The sequence below is a fragment of the Homo sapiens genome, chromosome 10 (assembly GCF_000001405.40).
Source record: "Homo sapiens chromosome 10, GRCh38.p14 Primary Assembly".
NCBI classification, from domain to species: domain Eukaryota; kingdom Metazoa; phylum Chordata; class Mammalia; order Primates; family Hominidae; genus Homo; species Homo sapiens.
Window position 1 is genome coordinate 123909176 of NC_000010.11, and position 22551 is coordinate 123931726.

Consider the following 22551-nt stretch of genomic DNA (forward strand, 5'->3'; position numbering starts at 1 on the left):
GTAGCTCGGGACACGGGCTTCCCTCCACCCTGAGGTTCAGCGTCCAGGAAAGATCTCCAGAAAGTACACTACCAGCCCACATCCCACCTGTAACAGGTCTTCAGGGCCTGCAGGGGGGACTCGCCCTCAGCAAGTCCACCTCCTGAATCCTATGTTTCTATAAATCCCGATTGCAGTCCACACAAGGCTTAATTTTTTTTCTTTAAAGAACACTCTTTGCCAAAATCTGTGTTGAGTAATTAACTAGTGCCATGCCCAGCAAGGGAAAGCAGCTGTATAATTTATATTCCACAAGGCTCCACCTGACAAGCGGAAGCCCGGCCAGGCGCTGCTTTCCTTCAGCCCTGCATTGGGTTCTAATTGTGTTCACCCAGGCTGCTCATGTTTGCTGGGCCGTTCAAAGCCTCCAGAATATTTCTCTTTCCATTGTACGGTACTAAATCTTTGTCAACACTTCTCCAAATGCAGAAGTTGACAGTCAGCCCTCAATGACTCAAATGGAAAGCTAGTAAAAGCTCCCAAAGGAACATCTTTCAACAAGTCATAATGCTTTCATAAAATGAAGGCAGGATAACTATAACCACTCTCCTCTTCCTGTCATGTTCTCTCAAAGCAGAGACAATGGAGGTGATTTGGGGCTTCCTCAGTGTCCAGGAACAGTATCAGTCATGTGTTCACCCATGAGGGCCATGGAGCAGTGCCCTCAACACAATCTCATGCCAACATTTAGTCCCTCCATGCTGATGCACGTGGAAACAAAGATGCCCTCGAGAGAGGTGGCCCAGCTTCCATATCCCAGGACTGCCAGGGTCACAGCCACCTACCTGTACTGGTGGGTGCAGCCAGGCAGCGCCCGAACCCACAGAGACAGTGTAGGGAGCAGGTGCAGCCACCATAGACAGGTGGGGCCACCACAGACCATAATGGCAGACAGAGGCTGGAATGTCCCTCACTGAACCCAGCCCCACCGAGCTGGCCCACCTGCACATTCGCGCCCCTGCACACCTGCCTCATCTCCCGACTCAGCCTTTGGTTGCTCACCCATGCCAGACAGGTGCCTTGCTTTGAATGCCTGGACACCTGGCCAGGTTTTTTTTACTCCTTCTCCCTCTGGAGTCTGGGAATCAGTTCTGTGCATTTGCGGCCCTGGAGGTAGGATTCTTTGTCAAATCAATGGCCAAGATCATGACCTCCACCCGGACAGAACCCTTTCATGTCCTGTCAGCATTCATCAAACCTAGTATCACTCCCCCACTGCAGAGATTCTCGGAACTGCACCCCCGGCCCCTGTTGCAGTTCCCAGGGGGAGTTCTCCTGATCCACTGCATCCCAGCTTTCTTCACTTCCCGTCAGCAAGGGCTACCTCAGCACCTCCTCATTGTGCCCTCCCAGATACAAGCCCCAGGCTGGTGCAGAATCATCAGTTACTAGACATTTGCATAAGTGAGTTAGGCATAACTGGTGTGAAATACAGGTATGAATGCAGGTGCTCACCCAACTGCACCTAAGTCTCTGCCTCATTATTGACTGTATCCGTTTTCTGGGGCTGCAGTAACAATGCACCACAGAACTGGGTGACAACACAAATTTATTCTCTCACGGTCCTGAAGGCCAGAATTCTGAGATCCAGGTGTCCACAGAGCCACACTCCCTCCACCAGCTCTCGGGGAGGATCCACTCTTGCCTCTTCCAGGTCTGGTGGCCCCAGGTGTTCCTTGGCTTGTGGCAGCATCACTGCAATCTCCACCTCTGCCTCCATGGGGCCATCGTGCTGCTATGTCTGGATCTCTGTGTGTCCACATGGCACTCCCCTCGTGTGTCTGTGTCTGTGTCCAAATTTCCCTCTTCTTATAAGGACAGCAGTCATCCTGGATTAAAGCCCATCCCAAGGACCTCATCTTATCTTGATTAAACCTGCAAAGACCCTATTTCCATATAAGGTCACATTCATAGATACTGGGAGTTAGGACTTCAACATATCTTTCTGTGGGGGACAAAATTCAACCCATACAGACCTTATGTTTCTCTTGATCTATCTAGTTTTGTGACTCTCTCATTTGGGAATTTGTTCAGCAAGTATTTATTGAGCACCTGTTACATTCCATGCACTATGCTGGGTATGAGGGACTCCTGCCCTCAAGAACTGATGGTCCAGGGGACAGGTCCCCCGGCAGCTGCTAGGAAGTGCAGTCTGAGGACACTCAGAGCAGGGCAGCCCCAAGGGGGCTCCTATCCCAGCCTTAGGGCATCGATGAAGTTTCTCAGAGGAAAGAGTGATGGAGATGAGAACTAGGCTGAATACGATTAGGTTGGTGCAAAAGTAATTGTGGGTTTTGCCATTAGTTTTAAAGGCAAAACCCACCATTACTTTCGCACCAACCTAATAGCCAGGTGAAGAGGCCATGAACGGAAACAGCTCCAAGAAACTCAGAGATGAGAGAAGCTGAGAGACTTCAGGAAACCTTGGATGATTCAGCAAGGTAGAAACAGAGGCATGGCAAGAGATGAAACTCCAGAAAGTCACATGGGTGCTCACATGTCACTGTGATGCCAAGGCACCCACAGAGCCTCTGTGGGCTCTGATTACAGGTGCCACCCATTGAACACACACTGTGAGCACCGTCTCCTGTAATCATTCCTGCCACCCTGCAGGGGTGGGGTGCTCTACATGTTACCAGTGGTGAATCTGCAGCAACCTCAATTCTTGCCTCCTCCGAAGAAAGAATTCGACTGAGGGGCATAAGGCAGAAGGAGAGACTGAGGCAAGCTTCAGAGCAGGAGTGAAAGTTTATTTGAAAAGCTTTAGAACAGAAAGGAGGGGGGAAGGAGGGGCAAACTTGGAAGAGGACCAAGCGGGTGACTTGCGGAACCACGTGCACAGCTAGACCTCTCGACTGGGGTTTTCTGCATTGGCATACTTCCAGGATCTTGCATTCCCTCTCCCCACTCCTGAGATCTTATTAGGAAGCTGCGGATCGGTTTCAGGTGTTTTCTCTTAGGAGCCTGCCTTTCCCTGGCAGCGCCTGTGACCAATTATTATTTTAGAGAAACAGTTGACAGCTGCCTGACCATCACATGATGGTCACCCAACACTCCTAGTGCGTGTGTGTGTGTGAGTGTGCAGATGGTGGGCGGGGGGGGGGGGGCAGGCATTCCTGCCCTGCTCATACCTAAGTAGCTACCCACTGTAACCCACTGAACAGGTGAGAAAAGTGAGGCCTGTTGCACTGGCATTTCTCTCCCCAGGTCACATGAGAGAGGCAGCAGAGGCTGCCCTCTGGGACTCAGCTCCACATCCTGGGCCACCCCTGCATCTGCAGACTGGTGCCCTCCCAGACATTGCACCGGTGTGGAAAAGAAGGGGAGGGGCTGGTGGCCAGGGCTTGTTTCCATCTGTGATGCCCTCCTGGGTATTCACCCCAAAGCCTGCTAATTTAGGAGGCACTGCCAGGGATTGGGAGCATGGAAGTGTGAACTGAAACACGCCCAGCCCTCTCCACTCCGGCTGGAGGAAGGCTCTGAAAGGCACTTAGCTTTTTTCATCCCGGGCTCTGATCAATCACCCACTTCCATCTTTGTGATTCTCACAACCTGTTAATTTATTTTATCAAACAACCTCAGTCCAGGCAACCATCCAGTTATTTTTGTCTCTGAAGCCACACAACAGGTTCAACTACTTTGTTGTTGTTTTCATTTGCCAACTAGGTATAGAGGGTCATGAAGGAACTGCCAGACCTTGTGGATTTACCTCTCTTTGTAGTCATACTCCAGACTCCTCCAAAGCTCATCCACACGGGTAGTTCTCTGCTGAAAGAGTGCTTAGCGATGGAAATGGATCCCCGGGCTCTACTCTGCAGAGATGAAGGGCTCTAAATCTGCATAGTAGCTCTTACTCTAGGAGGCTGCTGGGCTCTCTGCCTTGATTTGATTAATGAGTGTGGAGTTTGGCAGAGGCATTCTTGGAAGATTCTGGATTGGTTGTGTGTATATACATAAAATAAAAGATGTGCTGTGGGTATTTTGAGCTAAACATGACTGATAGCTATGTTTATTAAGATAGGAGCAGTCAAAGCCTGGCTGTTTGAAGTTATACACAGATATGCCGAAGAAGTGCAGCCTTATCCAAGTGCGGAGTCTCAGGATAAACTCAAAAGAGAATATGTATTCTCCAAGTAGCATTTGGTGAATAACAAGGCTAGAATATATGTCTCACCACTCTGTATTCTTTCCCTAATGATTGTTTAGGGGGCATTGGCTTGGCAAAAGAGCACTGGAATTATTGCATAAGTGTGTTTATGTGCGTAGGTGTGTATGTGCATACATCTGAATGAATATACGCATGTATTCCGCACCTTGTTCCCACAAAGGGAATTAAAGATGGCTAAGGAAGCTACGTAATAAAATTTAAATAAGTTTTAAATAAATAGATGAGGAAATCAGGGCAAGTGAGATAGAAAATTAGGAATAAAAATAGAGGAAAGAAAGTAGAGAGGAGGGCAAGTGGGTGTGAGGAGAGGAAGGAAAGACGAGGGGTGGGGAGCGAGAAAAAGAGAAGAGGAAGTGGTGAACAAAAGCTTCTGTTTCCATGGTGACCAGCAGCTCCAGGTCCGCAGAGATAAAGCTCTGAAAGAAAGATGGTGTGGACTGGCTGTTTAACCGGATCTGTGGCATACTTCCAAGCACCATCCCTCCTCAGGAGGCACCCCCCTCCCAGGCTCTGGAAGCTGGAAGCTGCCCACAGCCTATGCAATACATAATTCCCAGACCCTGAACCATGCCTGATGGACCAGAGTGAGCACCAGAGTCAGGCCATTGCCAACCGCATTCCCTCCCCTGGGGTTTCAGAATCCAACCTTAAAGGCAGGAAGTCAGTGTCATTTGGTGGCTTGACCTCTTTGGCATGGAGCATGCAATTTGGGAGGAGATCCAGCCTGCCCTGTGCCTGAGAAGCAGAGGAAATGAGCATGGCCAAGTTGAAGGTCAAAACAGCTCTTGCCAAGGTCATCCGGGAACTCTGTGAAGCTAACCATGAGTCTACTTCTTAATCTCTAAGCCACATCGAGCACATTAACCATGGCTTCCTTCCCGGACATTCTCCCATCTGGGATACCGGAATGCCCTGACCAGGCCTTCTCTGCCTCGTCTTCCTTCTCTGAGACTCAAGATGTACATGTTCTTTAGCGCTGGGTCTGGGCCCCTTTTCACTTCCAGCTTTCCCCCTTCTCTCTCTAGGGAAGCCTGTTCATTCTACCCATTGCTGTGGCTTTAAATTCTTGCAGAGAAGTCCCGTGTTCCAGGTCTGTGTGACTGACAGCCTCCTTGACATCTCCACTCAGATGCTGCCTCCAGGTCCCAAACTTCACTCGAAAGGTGAACTCCCCATTTTCCTTCCCAGATTCGTTTTCCTGGTCTCTGCCAACAACACCATTTTATACCTGGATGGTTACTTAAGCCAGAAGCCTGGCACCCGGGCCCTAAATGCTCAACCCCAGCATAGCATCCATCAGCCCATCTCGTAGATTCAGCTTCCAACGTATACCATGTATCTGTTTTCTTCCCTGATTCCCCAAGATTTCACTGCCCTCATTCAGGCCAGCACTATCTTCAACACGGATTTGCTTATCAGCCTCCTGACTAGTCTCCATGCTCTCTCTTTCTCCCTGACAACCTGGATTTGATTAACGGCCTCCTAACTAGTCCCCATATTCCCTCTTGCCTCCTGACAATTTGTTCTCCACGCAGCAGCCAGAGGGGCCAGCTCATAACAACAAATGGATCTGCTTCAAACCCTTTCATTGATTCTTCCCACCCAAAGAATAAAATGCAAAGTCCTTACCAAGAGGTTTGAGATTGGACCTGCTCTGGTCCCCTCCCCTCCCGCGGCTCCTCTGATGCCTTCCTCACTTCTCCCCCGCCTAGATCCTTTCAGTTTCTCAAATATTTCCTGCCTCAGGGCCTTGCACTCACTGTTCCTCTGCCTGAAGGTCCTCGCCCTGCCCTTCACACACTTGCTCCTGCCTCACACATCTGACTCTGCACATCATCCCTGCATGGCAGGGAGATCTCCTCCTATCTCTCCATCCAAAATAAGCCCCACGTAGGCCGGGTGCGGTGGCTCATAGCTGTAATCCCAGCCCTTTGGGAGGCTGAGGCGGGGAGATCACTTGAGGCCAGGAGTTCGAGACCAGACTGGCCAACATGGCGAAACCCTATCGCTACTAAAAATATGAAAATTAACCAGGCGTGATGGCAGGCGCCTGTAGTCCCAGCTATTTGGGAGGCTAAGGCAGGAGAATCACTTGAACCTGGGAGGTGGAGGTTGCAGTGAGTGGAGGTCGGGCCACTGCAGTACAGCCTGGGCAACAGAGCGAGATTGTCAAAAAAAATAAAAATAAAAATAAAAGCCCCACATATTATTCTCCATCTCAGCTATCTGCTGAGCCCTTCAGACAACTCATCATTTCTTCTTAGTTTGTTGCCTTGTATGATGTCAACTTTCTTCCTGGTCAATGGCTCCTTATGGACAGGTCTGTGATTGATCCACACTACATCCTCAGAGTTGGTCAATAGTGCGCATTCATGTATTATTTTGAAAGCTAAGCAGAGAGAAAACAATGACAGGGAACCGAGAAAGTGCTCTATGAACTTTCCAGTCCCTGGTCCTGGTTGCTCAGGAAGCTGTTGCCCACTCCAGCCCTGGAGTTCCGCCGAATACTCCTGACGTTGGCCAGCAAAGCCCTCTGCTGCCCTTGAGCAATTTTCTGCTCCTGAAACCAGCACCTAGCACCTGGCCATGACTCTCTGTGCCCTCTGGGAAAACAGTCACCAGCTTTGAAAGCTTGTGGATTCCAGGGCACTTGGCATAAGGCTGCTCTTTCTCAGGCTTGAAGTTTGGTGCTGTACTTTATGCTTTGGGAGAAAAAAAAAATACCTGTGCAAACCCAAATTACTACAGGAGTGGAAAGCATCTCAGCCACCAAATATTCCCAGCCCTAGGAGCATTATGTTGGTCATTGGTGAGCTTGTATTGCATCCCAGGGGATTAGGGGCAAAATGCTATTATATGTGGGATCAGAGGCAGCTGGATGAAGCGAGAGTAGGTGGTAGGATCCATGGAGTAGGGGCCAGGAGCCCTGGGATAGAGAAGCCACTCTGCGCTGATGAATGATACACTAGATAAGGCTCTGGATTGTTCTGGGCTTCTGTGTCCAGGTCTGCAAGACTGAGAAAACCAGAGCCATCAAGTCACTTAGCTAAGCACTCCCACCCCACCCCCATTCACTCTGTGCTCCTTTCCATGGAGCCCCATGGGAGTTCCTATTCACTGCCATTGACCAGTCGTCTCTGACTGCATTAAGCCCACTCCTTTGAGTGGTGACTGAAGTCCCTAACTGCTCAGCTTTCCATGCGTGCATCTGGCCTCCCTAACTCAGGCTCCTCCAGGGCAGGGACACTGTGTTCCTCTCTCTTCCTCAGCTCAGAACCTGGCAAACATCAGGCATCAAATTAATGTTTGTTGGTTTGATCTGGCTAAATGATCTGAAGAATCCTTTCATTCCTCTAGCTCAAGCCACCTTCTGCCATTTGATTCTCTCTCTCTCTCTTTTTTTTTTTTCTTTTGAAACAGAGTCTTGCTCTGTTGTCCAGGGTGGAGTGCAGTGGTGCAATCATAGCTCACCACAGCTTGGAACTCCTGAGTTCAAGCGATCCTCCTGCCTTGATAACCAGAGTAGCTAAGACTACAGGCACATGCCACCACGCCCAGCTCTGATCCTCATCTTGATTCCAGTTGTTTGCTGGAGGGGGTGAGTAGGGAGTGAGAATGACAGATAGGGAGATGGGGGGCAGAGGGGAAGCCAGGACAGGAAGGGAGGGGAGGGAAGGCCGGACCTAGTGTTTCTGAAATTGAGTGAGATTGGATGGAGGCATAGACATTCAGCTTGAGGCAAAAAGGGAGAGAGTAGGAGATGAAAATAGATCTATACAATCAGCAGATGCCAAAATATTCATAACGTTCCCAAATCTCCCTTAACATCTCTCTAGAGGCGCCCATAGAAAAGATCCTTTATTCCATTTCTAATTCAGGATCCGCTTTGATGTGCTCAGGCACAGGAAGGAAAGTTACAATGACTAACATCTTTAATGTCATTAAAAATAATTAAATTACATAGTCATTTCTTAACACCCAGCCTGACTTTTTTCAACACTTTCTTTCAAAATGAAACATTGCAAAGACATCAGGGAGTTGGAGAGAGCCTGCGGACAGAACCTTCCTTCCAACTGCTGCTCTTGATAGAAGATTATAATGGGCTTCAGAATTCATTTGACGTTTTTCTTGCTATTTTGTACACATAATAATAGATGTAAAGCCTCAGATTTTAATGGCACCTTTCTACCTAACAACCACATGTGCTCTCACAAACATTCACTTTTTGTATGTTGAAGAGGAGAGAAGTATTACTAGCCCCATTTTACAGAAGTAGCAAGTTGATGATTCATAGTGCATAAGCACTAATATTCCCTGAATGCCTGCCATACTCTAGGCACTGAGCTTTCGTACAGTCTCATTTATACCTCTCAGCCAGCTTTTCAGGACTGAGAAAGGATTCAAACCTGGACCACCTGACTAAAAACCCACATGCCTCAACACTGTGCTATATAACTTATTCAACAAATCTTTATTGAACAGCTACTCTGTGCCAGACATTGTCCTGGCTGCTGGGGATACAGTGGTACAGGAGACAGATCTCTCTATTGTCAGGGATGATGTTATAATAGGAACACATAAAGAAATTAAAACAGGGTGATGTGTTCAAGACTGTAGGGCAGGTGTGAGAGAGAGTCCATGCCTCCTGAGGAGTTAATGACAAGAAGGACCCATTCACAAGAAAATATGGGCAGCGCATTCCAATCAGAAGGAAGCCCAGGGATCTAAATATGTTGGTATTTATTATTTCCTCAGCCATTTCACCTGAATATCTGTTGTAAGACAATAATTATTAATATGGAAACAAATATTCACTGGTTATTTATAATAATGAAAACAAATAGAAATGACCTAAAATCGAATAGGGAGAAATTTCAAGAAATTATGACCCTTGTGCTTGCTGAAATATTATGCAGCCATGAAAAATAACTTGGCAGGTTTCGATTCTGGCTAGGAGGTATACCTTACTCTCTATCTCTTCTACTGGTTACAACTAAAAACTCAGGACAGACTATATAAAATAACTATCAGAGTACTGTGAAAAATAATAACAGAGTAGGGAAAGAAATAAAAACTCGAAGAAATACAGATCCAGCAGAGTGTCCTGGAGTGCTCCCACCTCATATTTCCTGGCTTAGACACTAGAACAGCTAAATCCTGAACTGTGTGGCAGATGTTATGTGCACAGAATAAGTTCCAAGAGAAATCCTCCCTTTCTGGCCAGAAAATCAGAAGGGCAGCTCTTGCAGTGCACAGCTTGGGGCTAAATCCGCATTTTGTTTTCCTTTTCCCTTCTTTTAGTCTTCCAGCCCTGTCCCAAGGCAATCCCCAGTCATGATGCTGTGATCCCCTTCAGCAGCAGTGGTCATGGAAGCCATACAAGCATGTAAAATTCTGAGAAAATTATTTCCTCTGACTAGAGGAAGCTGGAAAAGGGGTCCCTGTGGTCCAAAGAGTGAGGTGGGAAGGACGTCTGTTATCTCCTCTTTCTTTTTTTCCTAGCTATTTTGTCCTAAAGTGGACCCAGTCACAGAGAGTGCATGAAAACACAGGGAAGGTAAAAACCCCAGCTGGAGCACCAGGAAAGGGGGCCACTGGGAGCTGGAGATTGTGGAAGAAATTTGGAAGAGGAGGCAGCTGAAGAAAGAGAGCCCCTAAATCTGTTTGAAGCCCACAGCTCCTCTCTGAGCTGTGCACGTATGGAACTGACATAAAGTAGCATAGACAAGGCTTTGAGAATTTAACTGCTGTACATCCACTGCTCAGGACCCAGACTGGACCCTGGGTGGTCCCCACACAGGACATATCCAAATAGCACCACAGAGCCTTTGAAAATCAAACTGACATTGAAACTCCGGCCCACAAAAGATGCACAGGGACTTGTGGTCCATTCCTAACCAGCTTGATTACCTGCTAAAATGAAATAATCAACATTTATCAGAAGATTTTAACAGTGCCCATAGCATGATAACATAATATTCAAAAATATCCAGGATACAATCTAAATTTACTCAACATACTAAGAACCAGATACATCCCAGCAACCACAAGATAACCCAGATTTTGGCATTATCAGACAAAGAATTTAAAGCAGGTATGACAACCATACTCCATAAAGTAAGAATGAACACTCTTGAAACAAATAGAAAGTTACAAGCTCTCAGTAAAGAAATAGAACCAGTAGGAAAGAACCAAGTGGAAAGTTTTAAAAACTGAAACATACAAATAGAATTTTTTTGAAAGTCCCTAGAGAGGCACAATAACAGAATGAAAATGACAAAAGAGAGTCAGTTAATTTGAAGACAAGTTGCTTTGTCCATTTGTATTGCAATAAAGGAAATACCTGGGACTGGGTAATTTATAAAGAAAAGAGGTTTATTTGGCTCACAATTCTATAGACTGTACAAGAAGGATGTCAGTGGTATCTCCTTCTGGTGAGGGCTTCAGGAAACTTCCACTCATGACAGAAGGTGAAAAGGAGGCAGGGTGGGGAGATCACATTTCAGGAAGTGGAGGAAGCATGAGAGAGAGGAGGAGGTTCCAGGCTCTTTTTAACAATCAGATCTCATGGGAACTAACAGAGTGAGAACTCACTCATTACCACAAGGACAGCACCAAGCCTTTCATGAGGGATCCACTGCCATGACCCAAACACCTCACACCATGCCCCTTTTCCAACAGCAGGGGATAAATTTCAACATGAGATTTAATGGGGTCAAACAAACTATATCCAAACCATGGCACAGATCAATAGAAATTACCCAGTGATAAAGAGATAAAAGATTAAAAATAAATCAACAGAGCCTCAGTGTCATTTCTTATTAAAGACCAGGGAAACCAAAAGATTATTGAAAATTATTTTTAAAGTTCTCAAAGACATAATTCCTATATCTAGCAAAAATATCCTTCAGGAATGAAAGCAAATGAAATAAAGATATATTCAGATGAAGGAAAACTAAGATAATTTATCACCAGTAGTTATAAATTTAAAAACAGATTTCAAAAATAAGAACAATGCAAAATTATTTTACAAAGGGCTTGTTATTACTTTGAAAAATTCCTATGATCTAATGTTTAAAAAATCATGATACAAAATTTAAAAAACAGTGTTCTTGCAATTATGTCCAAAAATACTATGCATAGAGAAAAAGCTAGGTAGAAGTAAAATAAAGTGTTTTTAGTGACTTCTTTTGGCAAAAAGATCTATTGGTAAATTGTCCTTTTATTTTATTTTTTAATATTTTCCAAAATGACAGTGGATAATTGTTAGGGTTTAAATGTTTCTCCATAGTTCACGTGTTGGAAACTTAATCCCCAATATGATAGTGTTGAGAGTTGAGACCTTTAAGAGGTGATTAGGTCATGAGGGCTCTGCCCTCATGAATGGATTAATGCTGTTATCTCAGGAGTGGGTTAGTTATTGTGGGAGTGGGTTCCTTATAAAAGGATGAGTTTGACTCCCTCTTCTCTTTTTCTCTCTCACATGCACGACTTTGCCCTTCCACCTTCCACCATGGGATCATGCAGTAAGAAGGCCTTCACAAGATGCTGGTGCCCTATTCTTGGACTTCCCAGCCTCCAGAACTCTCAGAAATAATTTTTTTCCTTGTAAGTTACCCAGTTTGTGGTATTCTGTTATAGCAACAAAAAACAGATGAAGACAATGATCAAACATTTTTATAACATTAAAAAAAAGTTACTTCTGAATGCACCAGGTTGTTAGGGAAAAGGGTGGAATAAATCTCTCAATTTTAGTCCAAGAAAAAGAGCATATTCTTGAAGATTTCTTTCTAAAGAGAGGAGGTGTAAGAGAGTGCCCACCAGATGAAGAAGATGGTCAGTTATTTCAGCTTTCACCCATGTTCATGAGGTTCCAATTATCTAAGTTCATAAGACAATTTTTTTTTAAAAAAAGCATCTAAAGTTCAAAATTATTAGACATTATAGATTTGGCCTGCCTGACAGTTCTTAAAGTTCTTAATTCTGTTTACAAAGAGAAAAAGGCCTTTATGGGAAAGAATCTTCTGATATGCTAGTGGTAACCACTGCTTCACAATTGATAAAATCATTGACTGAAAGGAAGAAAGAAACAAAAAATACAGCTAGCCTCAAATGGCAGCAGCAGATTTTAATGCCTAAGGGATGTTCTGTGAATAAGATAAGAGCTGGCAGCCCACCTATCCCTGTATAATATCCAAGCTATGAGAGGCAAGGAATAAAGACCACTAACAAAGGAGCATGAGCTCAGGATCCAGATGATAGACATGGTAGCAGAGGCTCAGATTCAAACACCTGTGTGCTGAATAATTCAGTGGACCTACAGGGTAATAGAGACAGCCACATGTGCCATTGTTAGCCTGAGTGAAGAAGGGAATTATAGACATTTAGGGAGGTAAAAAGAATCCCAGGATACCTAGAGTTTTAGAATAAAGGTTTGCAATTCCCTGGCAACATCCAACTTTGAGGAGGAAAGATCCCTGGTTTACAACTCTTTCAGGAGCTAAGAGAAGGGATAGCTGAGGTATGAAAGTTGTAATGTGTGATGCCTGATGCCTTTCTTTTGCTTAGCTCTTCTCCATCCCTCCCCATGTTTCCCTGCACAACCCTTTGAATCTGTTCCCTTTAAAGAAGAATGTATCTTGTTCTACTCCAGGACTCAACCTGAGCACAATTGACATTTGGGGGCAGGTGTTTCTTTGTTGTGGGGGCTGTCCTGTGCATTGTAGGATGTTGAGCAGCATCCCTGACCTCTACCCCGTAGATACCAGGAGCACCCATGCCCCACACTTGTGACAATCAAATATGTCTCCAGACATTGCCAAATGTCCCGAGGTGCAAAATCACCCCAGTTGAGAACCATCATCCTACCCATTTTGGAAATTTCATGGTATAGTGATTTCTGAAGAAGCAAAAGGTGAGTTCTGGCATCTTAACCACAGGTATGGCACTGAGCCCAGCAGAGCCTAAGGGAATAAGGGCAAACATATAAAGTTCAATTTTTTTAATTCAAAAAGGGTAAAAATGTTTCTGGATGTAATGCAATTTTGCCCTTCTAAAAAAATATATGCTGTCCCTCTTGGATATCTGTGCTTTAGGTATTCACTCATTCATTCAAGCAACACTGACTAAGTGCTGGATTTTTTGTGATCCTCACTCAGCAGCAGCCAACCCAGCCAGCTTGCACCTGTGGCAAGTCCCCTGAGTTTGCATAAGCAAATACAGAACTTTACTGTATTTTGTCTCACTGAGTCTACAACATTTCTGAGCGCTGAGATTAAATTCCCCAAAGCATAGGAGGCTCGGCGAGGTGAGAGAACTTGGCCAAGTGGGCAGAAATTTGGGATGGGGAGGGAAGTTCTTCTTTATGCAACATCTCCAGCTGCAGAATCCAAGAGGAATGGAAGAACTTCATGTTGCAGCCTGAGTAGAATAATTGATTCAGGTCAGAATGATCATTGGTTGAAAAACTATTGGGAAACAGGATATTCACACGAGGCCAACGTATCACCCACAGATAACTGAATAATCACAAAGGGAAAAGTCGCTGTCAACACCTTAAACGAGTGAACAGATTACTCACTGTGGAGCAGCTTGAGGCCGTCCCATGCAGTCTCCACCCTCGCCTAGGAAGTATTTCACCAGGGAGATCTATTCAAGCCTCTATAGCTAACTCCTGGTTCAGGGGGAAAAGGAGGGATAGAAAAACATGCAAAATTGCCACAAGGACACAAGAAGACAGATCAAGAACCTGGGACATTCTAAAAGACAATTGGCCTGCGTTCTTCAAAAAGTTGATGTCGTGGAAAAGAAAAAGAAAAAGTGGAGCGACCATGCTAAATGTAAAAAGATTTAGAGATATAACAAGCAACTGTAATGTGTGTGCATTGGATCCTGGCTCTTAAGAAATAAACATTCTTGCCGGGCGCGGTGGCTCACGCCTGTAATCCCAGCACTTTGGGAGGCCGAGGCGGGCGGATCACGAGGTCAGGAGATCGAGACCATCCTGGCTAACACAGTGAAACCCCGTCTCTACTAAAAATACAAAAAAATTAGCCGGGCGTGGTGGCGGGCGCCTGTAGTCCCAGCTACTCGGGAGGCTGAGGCAGGAGAATGGCGTGAACCCGGGAGGCGGAGCTTGCAGTGAGCCGAGATCGCGCCACTGCACTCCAGCCTGGGCGACAGAGCGAGACTCCGTCTCAAAAAAAAAAAAAAGAAATAAACATTCTTAGGACACGTGAGGAAATTTGAACATAAATTGGATGATAAGGTTTGGCTGTATCCCCACCCAAATCTCATCTTGAATTGTAGCTCCCATTATTCCCTCATGCTGTGGGAAGGACCCAGTGGGAGATAATTGAATCATAGGGGTGGTTTCCTTCATACTATTCTCGTAGTGAATTAGTCTCACAAGATCTGATGGTTTTATAAAGGGGCATTTCCCTGCACACGCTCTCTCCTCTTGTCTGCCTCCATGTGAGACATGCCTTTCACCTTCTGCCATGATTGTGAGGCCTCCCCAGCCACGTGGAACTGTGAGTCCATTAAACCTCTTTCTTTTGTAAATCACAGTCTCAGGTATGTCTTTATCAGCAGTGTGAAAACAGACTAATACACTAGCTATTATATAGGTCAAAATGATTGTTATTTTTTCAAGTGTAGTAATAGTATTGTGGTTATATAAGTAAAAAGGGAAAAACACTCTTTTTCTTTCTACACTCTCACACACACACTTCACTTCTGACACCAAATGTGCAGATTTTCCATACCAAGCAGCTCACCAAATCTCCAGACTCCAACTGTGTGTTCTACTATGCAGTTAGGACACTAACTACCTAGAGTTGGTGCAGGCTCCACAGATGAAGGGCTCAGTCCCACAAGACTGCCCCCACTGCAGACATCAGTTACAAATAGCGGGTCCCCAGGTTACCCACAGTTCTGTCTGACGTAGCCACAATGACCCCGTGTAGGGGTTCCCATGACCCTCTCCTTAGGTTCCATAGTTGGTTCTAACGGCTTGCAGAACTCAGGGAGATGCCTACTGGTTTCCTGGTTTCTGATGCTGCTTTATTATAAAGTCTATGGTAAAGGACACAGATGAATAGCCAGAAGAAGAGGCACACAGGATGAGGATTGAAAGAGTCCTAAGTGGAGGAGTTTCTGTTCTCACGGAGGTGGGGTGCACCACCCTCCTGGCACAGGGACGTGTTCACCAACCCAGAAGCTCTCTGATTTTTATGGAAGTTTCATCACTTTTGTATGATTGATTATAAACTCAATCTCCTGCCCTTTTCTCCTCCCCAGAGGATGCAGAGTGGCGGTGGGTGAGCTGAAAGTTCCAAGCCTCTAGTCCTGGCTTGGTCTTTCTGGTAACCAGACTCCATCCTGAAGCTATTCGGGGGCCCAACAAGAGTCATCTCATTAGAACAAAGCATGCCCCTATCACCTCAGGAAATTCCATAGGATTTAGGAGCTCTGTGTCAGGAATCAGGGTCAAAGACCCTGATTAGAACAAAATACCCCTATTAGAACAAAAGACACTCCTAGAACACCTTATTGACGAGAAAATTCCAAAGGTTTTAGGGGCTCTGTGCCAGAAACCAGGAACAGAGACCAAATACATATATTTTTATTGTATCACAATAAGAAAATATTGTTAGGAAGTAAGTGCTAAGGGATTATGATTTAGGGGTAAAGTGTCATGATAAGTCATAAATTATTTTCAAATGATTTATTTATATATATTCACAGAGGGGTGGGAAGGGAGGGAGAGAGACGTGGTCCCTGGACCCAATTTATGCCCTAAATCTGCTAGATTTTCCACTGTTTTACATGTTTCTAGCAGGGAGAAGTTCAGGAAATTATCCACTGGTTATTTTTTTCAATTAAAAGACAGAGAATTCAGGCTTGAAAGCTTGCTCAGTTCTTCAGCAAGTTTCCAGACCTCATTAAGTAGTGGAGATTATTAGAAAGAATCTCACACACTTATTAATTTTGTTTTCCAGTGAATCCAAGATCACCTTTGTCAGCCTTTGCTAAATCTGCAAAACACATTGCCGTCTTGATTGCTAATTAGTGTACCGGGAGAGATAGTGGCTTCCACAATAATTTCACATAATAGAGTGAATTTAATTAAAATGCATAAATTTTAAAACACCTTAATTTGTAAACATCCTCTTGGAAATCTTATGTCTGTGCCAAAATATTTGTAAGTTGCATACATCCAACAAAATTGGCATCTCTTGCCTCTCTTGTGTGTATTATGAGGTAAAGCTTGTTATTCCTGCAACACTATGGATCCCCCCACCCTACCACACTTACCACACCATGTTTCTGTCTTGTTTACCTGTATACTTTTTCCTCTAGACTATAAGAGTTATTCATTCATTCATTCCACAAATATTTAGTGACAACCTACTAAGTGTCAAGGCTCTGTTCTAGAAACAACAGAGCAATGAGCAAATTCATGGAGCTTCCAGATACAACCATACAAAATTGTAATAATTTAACATGTCAAAAATTAGGGTCCAAGATCTATGCATTAGGCAAAAGTGCCCTATTTTCACTGATTTCCAGTGAAATCTCAGTAACATATGTAAGCATATCATGCTTTTAAAGTATAGCAGGATCTCAGGGCTAGAAGGACTTCCAGAGACACATGTCCCAAGCCTGCCCTCTTCCACAGGAGTTACCCATGACATGCTCTTCTCATGGCAGATTCCAAGCGGGCCAGAGGGCCAGCACCAAAGCATCTGTGCCATGTCTGTAACATGCCATTGGCCAAAGTAAGTCTCCAGCCATTCCAAACCAAGGCAGTGAAGAAGTGGGAACAATAACCTAATCTTCCGATACCGGGTCTTACCATGGAAATGGTTTCCTCCACCTTCTGCTCTTCTTCCTCTGCTAGCTCTACTGTCCTTAAGGTTTAATTTGGATATTGCCTCCTCTGAGGACTCCTCTGTGGCTTGGATGCTCCTCCTGGGTTCCCCCAGTGCCCTGGGCATACCTCTACCATGGCACCTAGCACAGTTTATTGGAATCATCTGTGTGTCTCTCTCCCTTGAACTGAACTCGCCTGACAAATGCTTCTAATTGCTTCCTGAACATGTTTTCTCCCCTTCTTTAGAGCTAGAGAACATCAATTCTGTCCAGGGCAGTGGTCCTTTTAAAACTATTCACTTTCCTAGATATTCTTTCAATTAAGCTGACCACGCAAAACGGTTTAGCTTTCTGCAAAGCTTTCTTAACAGAGATACATCCAGAAAATCTGTCTGCCTTTTGTTTTTGTCCTTTGCTCCTCCCCTTTCTCCTGCCTGGAACATAAACGTATGTCCAGAGTGCAGCAGCCATATTGCAATCATGAGGACTAAAGCCATGAGTTAAAGATGACACAGCAGAAAGACAGGAAGACAAGACAGGGGAATCCCCAGGGCTTCTGAGCTGCTGTGTCTGCCCTGTACTGCATGGCTCCAGATTTTATGTTATGTGAAGAAAACCCTTTCACTTCATTAGTCACTTCTGTTAAGTTTCCCGAGAGTTCCAGCCAAATGCCCCCTAACTGACAGAGCCTCTCAGAGAAGAGACAGACTTACCCATTCTTGCATCTCAGACCTGGGACAGGTCCTGGGACATAGGAACCCAGTAAGTGTTCATCTGTGGATGGGCACGTGACCTTACTGAAGCTCTGCCAACCTTCTCACCGCAGTCTCACCACTACCCACTCTCAATTTCCAGACCCCAGCCACACTCCACAGGGGTCCCCTCATGCATGCCAAGCTCCAGCTCACCACTGGGCCTTTTCAAAGGTTGCTCCCTTTACAGGAAGGACAGTCTCTCCTCTTTCTCTACCTCCCTTGAGGCTTCTGCTCTGGCAGCCTCCTGTGTCCCACCCTTCAGTGATGCTAGACAAGCAAAATGCCCCTGTGCCTCAGTGTTCTCATCCATAAAGTGGGCATGATAATAGTACCTGCCTCATTGTTGTTGAGTTGATGTGAGAATCAGAATAGCCAATTCTTACAATCAGAGAGTAAAAACGTACATAGGCTTATCTCATGCCAGGCACTATCCTAAGCACCTCACATGCCTTTAACTCATTTAATCCTCCCCATGACCTACAAGTGCTAATGTCAACCTCACTTTACAGATGAGGAGACTAACGCACCTTGCCCAAGGTCACACAGCAAATGAATGGCAGAGCCAGGATTTATACCAAGCAAGTGAGCTCTGGAGTCCAGGTGCTTACCTGTTGCTCATGCGGCCTTAGGGCTCCCAACTGCACCTGGTTCATTAGCTCCCAGTAGCTGTTAACAACTATTCTCATTGGCCAGACACCTGCCACTCTGGAAGTAACTGCTTGTGCAATCACTGCACCAGGCTTTGTTACCCCCAGATGAGTACAAATGGGTCACGTTCATAATTTCTTCCAACATTTGTGTGGTTTTAGTTCCCACCTACTTGTTAGCAAGATATCCAATCTCGTTTCCCTGGATCTCCCTTTCGGGAATTTTCTCCAGGAACCCCCCAGTGTTGGGGGTAGGTACCAGGCACTTCCATTCTCTTTGCCCACCCAGGATCTGCACACCCCTGAGGACTAACACACTCAACTGTGCCCCCACCTCCTGGCCTATTCATGAGTGTCAATGCCCACATTAACACACAGCACAGAGCTTGTCTGCCAAACCTCCTGGCTGGGGCACCCACTCCCCTCCACCACCATGTACTCCTATCAGCCTGCCTTCTGCGAGACCTTCATAGACCACAGATTCATGCTTGGAAACTGGTTTCTTGAGTGCTGAACAAGGGAGGCCACCAGAGAGCTTTGATTCACCACAAAGATTGTCCGTGGACACCTGGCCTGGCCAACCTCAATAGCTGGTTCCAAACCTCTCCAAAAACTCTTCAAAGACAGCCAGAGTGGATGGTCTGATGACCCCTGGGAGTGGTGGACTGTTTCTGTATTTTGAGATGCAGATTTTAAATGACTGCAATTTAAAATTGGTGAATTTTATTCTATGTGAATTATGTCTCAACAAAGCAGAATACACCAACACATGTGGCCACAGCATGCTCTTCTTATAATATGGCCTTGACACTGCTCTATCAAATTGTGGCATCTCTCTCCCCTCCCCTTGATCCTATGTTGACCAACAGATGATGGTAGAAACATCCCTATCTCTATGTGACTTCTGAGACAAGGTCAGAAAATTCTGCTTTGTTCTGTTAGGACATTCATGCTTGGAAGCTAGCCACCATGCTGTGAGGAAGCCCAAGCAGCCACACGGAGATGCTATCTCTGGGTGTTCCCGCTAACAGCCCTGGCTGAGATCTCAGGTAATAGCCAGCATCAAATGTTCAACATGAGTGAATGAGCCTTCAGATGACTCCATCCCACAGCCATTTAGTCCCCTAGCCTTTGAGGCTTCCCAGACATCAGAGATAGGAATAAGCCATTCCCACTGGCTTCTGTCCAAATTACTGGTTCACAAAATCCATGGCCGTTGAAAAATATACTTGGTTTATGCCACTAAGTTTGAGGTGGTTTATTATACAACAGTGGTAACTGGGAGATGGGGCTTCCCCAGAAGATCCTGGGAAGACTGTGGTCCTGAGTGGAGCAGGGGGGCACTCCTACAGGGGGCCTATAGCTGGTACCTCTCCTAGGCAGGAGTCCAGGACAGGGAATCCTGGAGAAGCCAGCAGGTTTGAAGCCAGGAGACATCTGAGACCTTGTTGGGAGATCAGAGAAAGGATCTGTCAGAGGTGACAGGATGGGGCAGGCAGTGCCAGGACAGATGATGGCTCAGCATGCAAACTGGACTGCTTTTGGGTGGCCACAGTTAGGGACCTGAGGAGCCAATGGGCTGGGGCACTGGCAGAGTGCAGGGAGGATGAATTTCGGAGGATTCATGAGGCCAGACCCCGGGCCCATGGGAGGGCACTGGTGCCTTGGCAATCCTTCCCCTGGAGTGAATGAGGCTGACTCAGCTTCTAGGAGCTGGGGGCTTCCTGGTCAGCACCACTGATGGCTTTATGGGCCAGAGTCCCTCCAGTCTTTGACAAAAGTGAAATTGCAGAACAGCAACTGAATCTGAGAAGAGACCAGATAAACTGAGGAGCTACAAACAAGGCTAGGAGGAGGAAAGCCAGGAGGCCACCATGGAAGAAACCTCATTTTCTCCCTGCCCTCGCTGTTTCACTTCCTTTTGGATCCCAGTGTAGAGTGGGTGCTCTGGCCAGAGTCCTCATTTCTGCTTCTCCCCACCCACCCTCACCCCCACTATTCCTGCTGGGAAGGGTCCCTTTGCCTTCTGCAAGCCTTATTTTAAAATGGCTACCTGCAAGGAACCTGCTGCCCCTTTGGTGGTAGCCCAGAAAGGCAAGCAGGTCCTGTCTTAGAGCGGGGTGTGCACCCACACAGATACACAGCCCGCCCCTGCCAGCTCTGGATCCCTGCCAAAGACCCCATCTGTAATCAGAAAGGGACAAGAAGCCTGGGGTCACAGCTCCAACCACCGGGTCATGCTTCCTTCCTTGGGTAGGGCGTCCCTGGTGTGCCCAGAGCTGCTGCTGAAGCAGAGGTGACAGAGGTTCCCACCACCTCCCCTCCCAGGCATCTGCTGTGGGCGTGGCTGCCCAGCCCGTCCTGGGCCATCTCTGTCCCCTGAAGAACCTGGCTCCCCTCCACCCCTGTCTTCCACGCAGCCACCAGCCTGGTCCTTTTCTCACACCTGATACACGAAGCACACTGAAAAGGCCACCTCACAGTGACACACTTTGATAGCTTGAGTTCTCAGCTCTCCTGGGAAAATTCATGCCTGAGTACACGTGGGCCCTGTAAGGCAATCCCAGACCCCTCTCCTGGGCTTTTGCTCAAACCTCCATCCCACAGCCCTGCTTCAAAGTTACTCTTTGAGACTTTCTGTTTGCTCCCCGCAGCACCATCTGAACTGGAGGCAGAGGTGCTGTCCTCAGGAGAAAAACATACTGGGGTGTGCTGCTTCCAGCAGCCCCATGACTCCAGCTTAGTTTATCTTGGGCGTGAAACATTCCAAAGGAACGCAGTTCTCCCTGTGCCAGGGACCAGGACTGCAGGAGAGGCCACGTGAGTGCTGGTACCTTTGTGGGTTCCTGTAGCACACTCCAGCCAGATTCCTGGACCCTGCTTCAAAGCAGCCCTGTCTTCCCCTTCCATCAGGACCTCCAAGTGCATACAACCAAAAGATAGTAAGCCCAGAAGCAGGTTGATGAGCTAGGCAGACCTCCAGTAAGTGAATCAGGATTTGAAATTGCATAACACTCCTGAGAGCTGCCATGTGCTTTTAATTTCCCTGTTACGGTTAAAGCAGGAAAAGATATCCAGTGAGTCGATCCAATGAATTGCTGAAAGAATGCTCCAAAGCCAGGTCATGATGGCGTTTCCTGACATTCATTTTAATTGAATAGTTTAATGTTAGATGATTACAACCCTGTCACATTTACAGAAAATGAGTAGCCCGGGAGGTCTCCAGAGCTTGGCAAGGAGAAATAAATCTTTCGTTCCCACAGCAGCTGATCTGAGGGCAGGCCGGGGAAACTTACCCACACTGGGTTTGCCATAATATCCTGGTTTAGGCCCCAGGCTTCTGAGTGTACACCCATATTCATGGGGACAACTTGACCACGTGTAACCACAACAGAGAGTAAGAACTAATCAGGCTCCTTAGTCAAGGGGGGTCTAGAAAACTCAGGGAAGGGACTGACCACTACCATCATCTGGCAAAGAGACTTCCGGTGGGAAGGGGTGGGGACCAAGTGAGCCTCAGCTGTCTGGCAATTAACAAAAGAGGAAGGGAGGTGAGAACATCAGATCTATGAGGCCGAACCCCAGTAAAAAAAACCCTGGACACTGAGGCTCAGGTAACCTTCTCTGATTGACAGTATTTCATGAGTATTATTGAACATTGCTACTAGGAAAAGTTAGTCTGTCCATGAGTTTGTGGAGGAGGACATTAGCAAGCTTCATGTTTGGAACTCTTCTGGACTCTGCCCCATGTGCCCCATCCCTTGGCTGATTCTAATCTCCATCCTTTCACTGTAATAAACTATAACTGTGAGTGTAACAGCCCATAACTTGTTCTGTGAATCCTTCTAGGGAACTGTCCAACCTGAGGATGATCTTGCAGATGATGGGCTTTTCTTATTGTGAGAGACATTTGGCTTCTTTCCTGCCCCTCCTCCTGGGAAAAAAAGTAGCACCAAACTCATACAGGGCAATATTTGAAAACAATGGATAAGTTGAACTTCATCAAAAAGGGATGGTTGTGGTTATCAAATCTTCCCACTACACTCATTTTAAATGAATAGATGCA

General features: G+C 46.2%; 1 protein-coding gene across 1 annotated transcript in view, besides 1 other annotated feature; it reads right to left on the minus strand.

Moving 5' to 3' along the window:
* Positions 1-22551, minus strand: part of CPXM2 (carboxypeptidase X, M14 family member 2) — a 198466-nt gene that overhangs the window by 163537 nt on the left and 12378 nt on the right. The gene's annotated exons all lie outside the window — the stretch shown is intronic.
* Positions 17037-18236: an enhancer, noted in NCBI's record as "MED14-independent group 3 enhancer chr10:125685728-125686927 (GRCh37/hg19 assembly coordinates)". NCBI's record gives its function as "activates an origin of replication core promoter dependent on BRD2, BRD4, P300/CBP and CDK7 cofactors, and independent of MED14, by STARR-seq in HCT116 cells {active_cell/tissue: HCT116}" and the evidence as "EXISTENCE:reporter gene assay evidence [ECO:0000049][PMID:35650434]".